Consider the following 8,601-nt stretch of genomic DNA (forward strand, 5'->3'; position numbering starts at 1 on the left):
CTAAAAGCCAAGATTGATGGAGGCCTTACTACCTGCCAGGCACTGTTCTGAGCACTTGCCAAACACACCCTCATCTACTCCTCCCCACAGGCCTGTAATTTGGGCACGACAAGCAAACTTGCCTCCCAGGGCTGCTACTATGAGAACCAAATGAGCGGCCAGCCCTGGAGTCCGGCACACAGTGAGCCCTGTCCAGGTGCTTGCTCTCTACTTCGTCCCATTTCACAGCTGGGGAATCTGGGGCTCACAGGAGTTCAATAATTTATCCCAGGTCACCCAGCCAGGAAGTGGGCAGCCAGGATTTGAACCAGGCATGTGATGACAGAGCCCTGGCTTTTCACCCTGTGCTGAGCTGTCCCCCGTGGGCAGAGGGGACTTTATGATCCTTACCAGACCTCCCAAACACAAGTGCTGTCTCAGCTCAAGGCAATCACAGGGCTTGCAAAACAAGTCCCGGCCTCCCCTCGCCACCCCCATCTCCATCCTGCTCCCTCCCCACCCCAACCATCTCCCACCACAACTTCCGGTCTTGCCCAAGAGTCAGGATGGAGGCCACAGCCCAGGCTTGCTTCTGAGAAAGTCCAAGTGACAGCAGTCTTGGAGGTCAGTGACCCCCAAAACTGAGGAACCAAAACAGGGCTCTGACAAGAGGGCTCCAGATCAGGAGGATCCCAAAGTCCTCCTAGGGGAAGCTGGGGAGACTCAGAAGCCATCTGGTGCCCCAGTGAGTGGAAATCTCACTGGGGAAGGATCTGCAAGGCCTGTGGCCGGACCAGGGTGACTGGGAGAAGGCTTGGCCTTCCCACAACAGGGGTCCTCAATCGTGGGGAGCCTCCTGCCCGCCGAAGGGACCTGGCCCATATGAGGGTCTCACAGAGCCATGCCCCGCCCTTAGTACAGAGCCAGGCTCGGCCAGCCTTCCCTGACCTCCCTGTGTGCTGGGAAAGTCCTTGTAGGGTGAGAGGGTAGGTGACACCCCAGGACACATGGCTGCTAGACACAGGTTAGGATTTGAACTCAGGCCTCTTCCAGGTCTGTGAGCTGAGGGTTTGCAAACTGTAGATCCCAAAGCGTTCCTGAGGGCTGGTGGATCCCCAGGTTCCTCAGGGCTGGTGTGCGAGGAGGGGGAGTAATCAGATTTTGTTTGAGCTCTGTGGCCTGTAGGTCACAGAGCAAGGCCTGGGCTGGCCTTGTAGGAGGGAAGAGGCTGTGTAGACTCAGCAGGGCCTGTGGCTGAAGAAGCCCCAGATTGGCAGTCGGGGAGGGGAGCTGCTTGAGGGGAGAGGAGAGCTCTGGGACTCCAAGCTGGGTAGGGGTGGAAACAAGGTGGGTCCCACCTCTGTAGGGTCTGAAGCTTATACGGTTTGAAGGGATCTCGAGTACACAGTTAGGAAGAAGGCTTTGGAAAGCGGCTGTGCAAATGAAGGGCCCTGAAGCATCAGCTTCATTTTATGGCAAATGTGCCTCTGAATGGCCACCCACCACCCCGCCAGATACTATCGCCTGAATCCAGCAAAGTCAGAGGTGGACTGGGCTGGGCGTTGGCTCACGCCTGTAATCGTAGCACGTTGGGAGGCTAGGGAGGGCAGATCACTTGAGCTCAGAAGTTCAAGACCAGCCTGGGCAACATGGCAAAACCCCATCTCTAAAAAAAAATAACAAAACAAAACAAAAGAAAAAAAACACGAGCCGGTTGTGGTAGTGGGCACCTGTGGTCTCAGCTACTCAGGAGGCTGAGGCAGGAGGACCACTTGAACCTGGGAGGCAGAGGTTGCAGTGAGCTGAGATCATGCCACTGCACTCCACCCTGGGCAACAGAGCAAGATCTTGTCCCACAAAAACAAAGGAAAAAACAGAGGGAGCCTGGGCAGGGAATGGCTACCTCCTCTCTGAGGGAATCTAGGAAGGCTTCATGGTGGTGGTGGCGACATCTCCCCTGGGCCATTGCAGGCAGGCCTTGGAGAATTGGGTGCTTTGAAATGGTCCTACAGGGGCTGAGCCCTACCTGGGAGGAGAGCCTCTAAGGCCCTGAGCTCCAGCTTGAGGCTTCATCCTGACATCGTGTGTGGACGAGGCTGAGAACATTCTGGAGGCTTGTTCCCTGTGATCTAGAATGGACAGAGCAGGCAGGGCCTACTTTAACTGCCCATTTCATAGAAGAGAATACTGAGGCCTTAAAACGGAATGTGACTGACCCCAAGGTCACATAATAAGCCTGTGGCAGAGCTGGGACTAGAACCCAGGTGGCTTCACTCCTTGCCCTGGGGCCTTTCTCTCTTCCACTCCCTTCTCCTGGACCAGCTGCTCTGTTTTGACAGAGCTCTTAGGATAAGCCCCCTCCCCAACCAAGGTCTTCATTCAAACCCACAGGCCGTCCCACTCTGTCCATCGAAGGTCACAGGACTAGGAAATGACCATTGGCAGAGCCCAGGCCCAGGAGCTGTGCTCACACACCTGCCCTCTTCTCTGTGCAGAGGTGGAGAAGCTGGGTGAGGAGAGAGGAGGGGAGGAGAGAGAAAGGGGAGGATGGGAGGAGGGCACTGCCCCAGAAGCCATTCCAGGAACACACCCCCGTGCCTGGGAATAAACTGCTCATTTAGAATCATTTTCCTGGAACCAAAAATATGCCTCCCTAAAAATATATTTTCTTTCTCACCTCATTCTGAGGCTGCAGCAGCTCAGCTGCCTCTAGGAGGTGGGTGGGGGAGAGTGACCGGGGCCTGTGGGGGGAGATCCCCCTTTCCCCAGGGCTGTGGATACTGACCACTGGGTCCCCCTCTCTGAGCACAGCTGTCATTGAGATATGCAGTACATCACATTTGTGTGTGTGTTTGGTTTTTTGGATTTTCGAGACTGTTGGACCCACATTCAAACTTCAACCTAGAGGTATCGAGCCCCAGCGAGGGCTGGGCACAGATCTGGACACTGAGGGAGCTCCCACCAAGGATGGGAGGCAGGCAACAGGCAAGCAACTGCACCAGGGGACACCTTAGTGCTGCCCTCGCCTCCTGTGTGCCTCTGAGCAGGTGCTTCTCCCACCCTGGGCCTCAGTCTCGTCATCTGCGAAGGGATCAGATGCGGGTAGCCACCCTGAATTCTCTGCGGACAGTCCTGCCGCTGGCCATGGTGGAGGGGAAGAGCAGCTGCCCTGGCAGCACTGACTCCAAAGAGAGGCCTGGGGCACTCGGGGCTCAAATTCTGGGTCTGCCACTTCCAGGCCAGTGGCCAGGGCCATTTTCCTCCCATGCAAGTTAGGGTCAGTGACGGCTCACAAGGCTGGAGGGAGGCAAACAAAGCAACACAGGACAGCACCCAGCATAGGGCAAGGCCCACAGTCACATGGAGCAGACCACTGTGTTTTTGTTGTTGTTATTTTTAGAGACAGGGTCTCACTCTGTTGTCCAGGCTGAAGTGCAGTGGCACAATCACAGCTCACTGCAGCCTCTATCTCCTGGGATCGAGAGATCCTCCTGCCTCAGCCTCTGGAGTAGCTGGAACTATGGTGGGCCACCACACCCAACCCTATGCCACTAATTTTTTTTTTTTTTTTTTTTTAGACAGAATCTCATTCTGTCACCCAGGCTGGAGTACAGTGGCGTGATCTCGGCTCACTGCAAGCTCCGCCTCCTGGGTTCACGCCATTCTCCTACCTCAGCCCCCTGAGTAGCTGGGACTACAGGCGCCTGCCACCACGCCTGGCTAATTTTTTTGTATTGTTAGTAGAGACGGGGTTTCACCATGTGTTAGCCAGGAAGGTCTCGATCTCCCGACCTCGTGATCCGCCCGCCTCGGCCTCCCAACGTGCTGGGATTACAGGCATGAGCCACCATGCCCAGCCCCTAGGCCACTACTTTTAAGTCATTCTTTGTCTGGTTCACCCCAGACCTGAGGTGGGAGGGCGAGGATACCCCACCCTTCCCCCACGGGAACTGAGAGAGTCTGAGGTTCCACAGGGAGGGGGCAGGTGGCTGCCAGGACCCTGGAACAGGTTGGCTTCGGCCCCTGGAGTTGTTGGTCCAGCCCTGCCCAAGGACATGTTCCCATGCTGGTATCTAGGAGCACCAGGAAGTGTAATCCAATTATACACTTTAAGTTATTTTTAAAAGTATGATTAAATTATTATTATGTTAATTTTAATTTTTATTTATTTATTTATTTGTTTTTTTAAACGGAGTCTCTCTCTGTTGCCCAGGCTGGAGTGCAGTGGCGTGATCTCTGCTCACTGCAAGCTCCACCTCCTGGGTTCACGCCATTCTCCTGCCTCAGCCTCCTGAGTAGCTGGGACTACAGGTGCCCACCACCACACCTGGCTAATTTTTTTTTTTTTTTGTATTTTTAGTAGAGATGGGGTTTCACCGTGTTAGCCAGGCTGGTCTCAGTCTCCTGACCTGGTGATCCACCCGCCTTAGCCTCCCAAAGTGCTGGGATTACAGTCTTGAGCCACCGCACCCGGCCGATTAAATTATTGTTGACTAGGCCAGGTACAGTGCCTCACGTCTGTAATCCCAGCACTTTGGGAGGCCGAGGTGGGCAGATCACTTGAGCCCAGGAGTTCAAGACCAGCCTGGACAACACAGTGAAACTCCTTCTCTACTGAAAATACAAAAAGTAGCCGGAGGTAGTGGTGTGTGCCTGTAATCCCAGCTACACGGGGGGCTGAGGCAGGAGAATAGCTTGAACCTGGGAGGCGGAGGTTGCAGTGAGCCAAGATCGTGCCACTGTACTCCAGCCTGGGCAACAGAGTGAGACTCTGTCTCAAAAAAAAAAAAAAAAAAAAAAAAAAAAGGACCGGGTGTGGTGGCTCATGCCTGTAATCCTAGCACTTTGGGAGGCTGAGGTGGGTGGATCACAAGGTCAGGAGTTCAAGACCAGCCTGGCCAAGATGGTGAAACCCCATCTCTACTAAAAATATAAAAATTAGCCAGGCATGGTGACAGGTGCCTGTAATCCCAGCTACTCGGGAGGCTGAGGCAGAGAATTGCTTGAACCCAAGAGGCAGAGGTTGTAGTGAGCCGAGGTCGGGCCACTGCACTCCAGCCTGGGTGAGACTCTGTCTCCAAAAAAAAAAAAAAAGGTTATTATTGACTATAGTCACCCTTTTGTACTATCAAATACTAGGTCTTATCATCCTTTCTTTTTTGTTGCACCCATTAACTGTCGTCCCCACCTCCTCTCCTCTACCCCCTCACTAGCCTTCCCAGCATCTGGTAACCAACCTTCTGTTCTCTATCTTCCTGAGTTTAATTGTTTTGATTGTTAGATCCCACAGATAAGTTTAAAGTGCTTCTTTGAGTGAAAAGCAATTCATGAACTGGGAAACACCAAACCAGAAGAGGTTTAATGTTCCAGTGACAAATCATCAGAGGCAAGTATTTAAGGGATAAACGCAGAAGTAAAATAAATTATTTGATTGGTTGCAATTATATAGTTGTTTATTTGGTCTATGCCGTTAGAAAGTCCCCCGTTATATAAAAATTTGTGGACTACTTCTGACTGGTTGAGCTGAAGTTCTGTTTTTCTTTAATAGAGGCATTTACAAGAAATAGCTCAATTTTTGCTTATGTTTGCAAATCAAGCAAGGTTGAGGTCATGTATGAGGCCTAACTGGTTTTGTCTGCTCTGGGATTCTTCAGACCTGGTCTCCATTTTAATTTAACAAGTGAAAGGGTTATAGGGCTGGGCACAATGGCTGACGCCTGTAATCCCAGCACTTTGGGAGGCCGAGGCGGGTGGATCAACTGATATCAGGAGTTCAAGACCAGCCTGGTCAAAATGATGAAACCTTGTCTCTACTAAAAACACAAAAAATTAGCCGGGTATGGTGGCGCGTGCCTGTAATTTCATCTACTCAGGAAGCTGAGGGAGGAGAATCGCTTTAACCCGGAAGGCAGAGGTTACAGTGAGCCAAGATCATACCATTGCACTCCAGCCTGGGCAACAGAGGAGACTCCATCTTCTTTTTTTTTTTTTTTTTTTTTGAGACGGAGTCTCACTCTGTCACCCAGGCTAGAGTACAGTGGTGTGATCTCGGCTCACTGCAACCTCTGCCTCCTAGGTTCAAGCAATTCTCCTGCCTCAGCCTCCCAAGTAGCTGGGATTACAGGCGCCCACTACTGCGCCAGGCTAATTTTTGTATTTTTAGAAAAGATGGGGTTTCACCATCTCGGCCAGGCTGGTCTCGAACTCCTGACCTCGTGATCCCAAAGGCCTCGGCCTCCCAGAGTGCTGAGATTACAGGTGTGAGCCAACACGCCCAGCCTCAGGAGACTCCATCCTGAAAAATAAATAAAGTATTACAGGACTATGGTTCCTCTGCCCACTGCACAGTAACAGACCCCATTACATGGAGACAGCAGGGTTTGCAGAAGCAGAAAGAGTTTACTGATCACAGGGCACCAAGCGAGGAGATCCTCAAATCCATCCCTCCGAGGAGTTCTGGGCTGGGATTTCTAAGGGGATTGTTGAGGGTGAGGGGCTAGAAAACTTGGGTCATTGATGGTTTTGAGTAAGGGGGATGACATCATCAGGACATGGAAACTGCATTTTTTGGTGAGTCAGCTCTTCAAACCAGTCAGGTCCTTCAAACCAGCTGAGTCAGCAGTTTCCTCAGTATGCAGGACCTGAAGGAATAGCTCAAAGAGAGAACTTAAGGCTTCCTAATGTTCAAGTTGTTATCTGCAGAGCAGCTAAGGGGAACTATCGTCCTGTAACAGGGTCTCGTGATTCTAGGTCAACAGGTTGCAAAAAGCAGCTGTGAGGAGGCAGGTCAGAGAGTGAGCTGACCTCAAAATGAAGGCTGAACGTGCTACAAGCTCAGTTTATTTTCATTATTCCCCCTCTCTTCTTCCCTGATTAATTTTATAAAGTTTATAGGGGCAGTTTCAAAAGCAAGCTGAGAGTGTGACCAGAGTATGGCATTATTCTCAGTTACTACCGTTAACACAGTCTGGAACAGAGCCATGTAGATGCTATCATCAACAGCTGCGTTAGGACTGTGGTCTTGTGGTCATTGGTATCCAAAATTGCATAGTCACTATAGGCCCTAGTGGTGGGCTTGCTCAGTTCTCCAGGTTGTTAAATCCTGCTGGCAATCATTCGATATGCAAGTGGCTGCGGGAAAGCATTTATTTATGTACTTATTTTTTAGAGACTGGGTCTTGCTCGGTCACCCAGGCTGGAGTGCAGTGGCACCATCATAGTTCACTGCAGCCTTGAATTCCTGGGCTCAATGATCCTCCCACCTCAGCCTCCTGAGTAGCTGGGACTACGGGCACACGCCACTGCACTGGGCTAATTAAAATAAAATTTTTTTGTAGAGACAAGGTCTTACTTTGTTGCCCAGGCTGGTTGAGAACTCCTGGCTTCAAGCAATCTTTCGGCCTTAGTCTCCCAAAGTGCTGGGATTATAGGGTGAAACGGTGTCATTTAAAACCCTTGAGAGGATACAATGCACAAAGGGGGTGAATAGAATAACTATAAGGAAAATAATAGCCAAGGACTGAAAAACGCCCTGGAACAAAGATTCCCAGGAGCCAAGATTTCACCAGCTAAAACATATCAATGAAGGAGGTAGCACCTATCTGCTAAGACTTGTATTTGTTTCTTAAGAGCCTTTATTAGCCAGGTGTGATGGCTCATACCTGTGGTCCCAGCTACTCAGGAGGCTGAGGTAGGAGGATGGCTTGAGCTCAGGAGGTCCTGGCTGCAGTGCGCCATGATCGCACCACTGCATGCATTCCAGCCTGGGTGACAGGGTAAGACCCTGTCTCAAAAAAAAGAGCTTTAAATTTTGGGCAACAGTTTCTTATTAACATAAAAGCAACTTTTTTTTTTTTTTTTTTGAGACAGAGTCTCACTCTGTTCGCCCAGGCTGGAGTGCAGTGGTGTGATCTCAGCTCACTGCAACCTCCACCTCCCAGGTTCAAGTGATTCTCCTGCCTCAGTCTCCCAAGTAGCTGAGATTACAGACATGCACCACCGCACCCGGCTAATTTTTGTGATATTTTAGTAGAGACGGGGTTTCACCATGTTGGCCAGGCTGGTCTCAAACTCCTGACTTCAGGTGATCCGCCCACCTCAGTCTCCCAAAATATTGGGATTACAGGCGTGAGCCACCACTCCCTCACTGGCCGAAACATTTCTTAATCAATAAAAACACAAGCTCCTCCTTATTAAGCTGTGAAGGTATCAAGAACTACGTTGGAGTATTATTGAGGCAAATTGTTCACTTCAGATTGTATCCCTTGAAGGGAATTCAAGGTTTTGTTCTACGAAAACAAAAGAAAAACAAAGGTTAACATCTGGAGCAAATTATGATGTTAGTTTTTGAGTCTCAAGGGCAGCTAGCTGAGATGTCTAGATGTGAGTGGGAAGCATCTTTAGATGACGGAATGAAGATGGCGTTGAATGACTCTGGCTATGGCATCAGGCAGTGTGCCAGTAAACTCTCCACATGACGCGTATAGTAGCAGGCATGAAAGTTGCCCGTACATGACCTGTTGTAGTGATATTTCTAAAACTTAAAGTCATTGAGTTTCAGCTTATAGGGCTTAGGAAAGGAGCAGTTTTAGTTTTTAGTGAAACTAGAAAGTTTCGGAATTT

General features: G+C 50.6%; 1 pseudogene, besides 1 other annotated feature; it reads right to left on the reverse strand.

The window, feature by feature from the left end:
- RN7SL371P (RNA, 7SL, cytoplasmic 371, pseudogene) lies at positions 5,858-6,124 on the reverse strand (annotated as a pseudogene).
- Positions 6,697-7,695: an enhancer, noted in NCBI's record as "H3K27ac hESC enhancer chr1:31392155-31393153 (GRCh37/hg19 assembly coordinates)". NCBI's record gives its function as "activates a minimal SCP1, AML or CMV promoter by ChIP-STARR-seq in primed H9 embryonic stem cells {active_cell/tissue: H9 hESC(primed)}" and the evidence as "EXISTENCE:reporter gene assay evidence [ECO:0000049][PMID:30033119]".

The sequence above is a fragment of the Homo sapiens genome, chromosome 1, assembly GCF_000001405.40.
Source record: "Homo sapiens chromosome 1, GRCh38.p14 Primary Assembly".
In the NCBI taxonomy this organism is placed as follows: domain Eukaryota; kingdom Metazoa; phylum Chordata; class Mammalia; order Primates; family Hominidae; genus Homo; species Homo sapiens.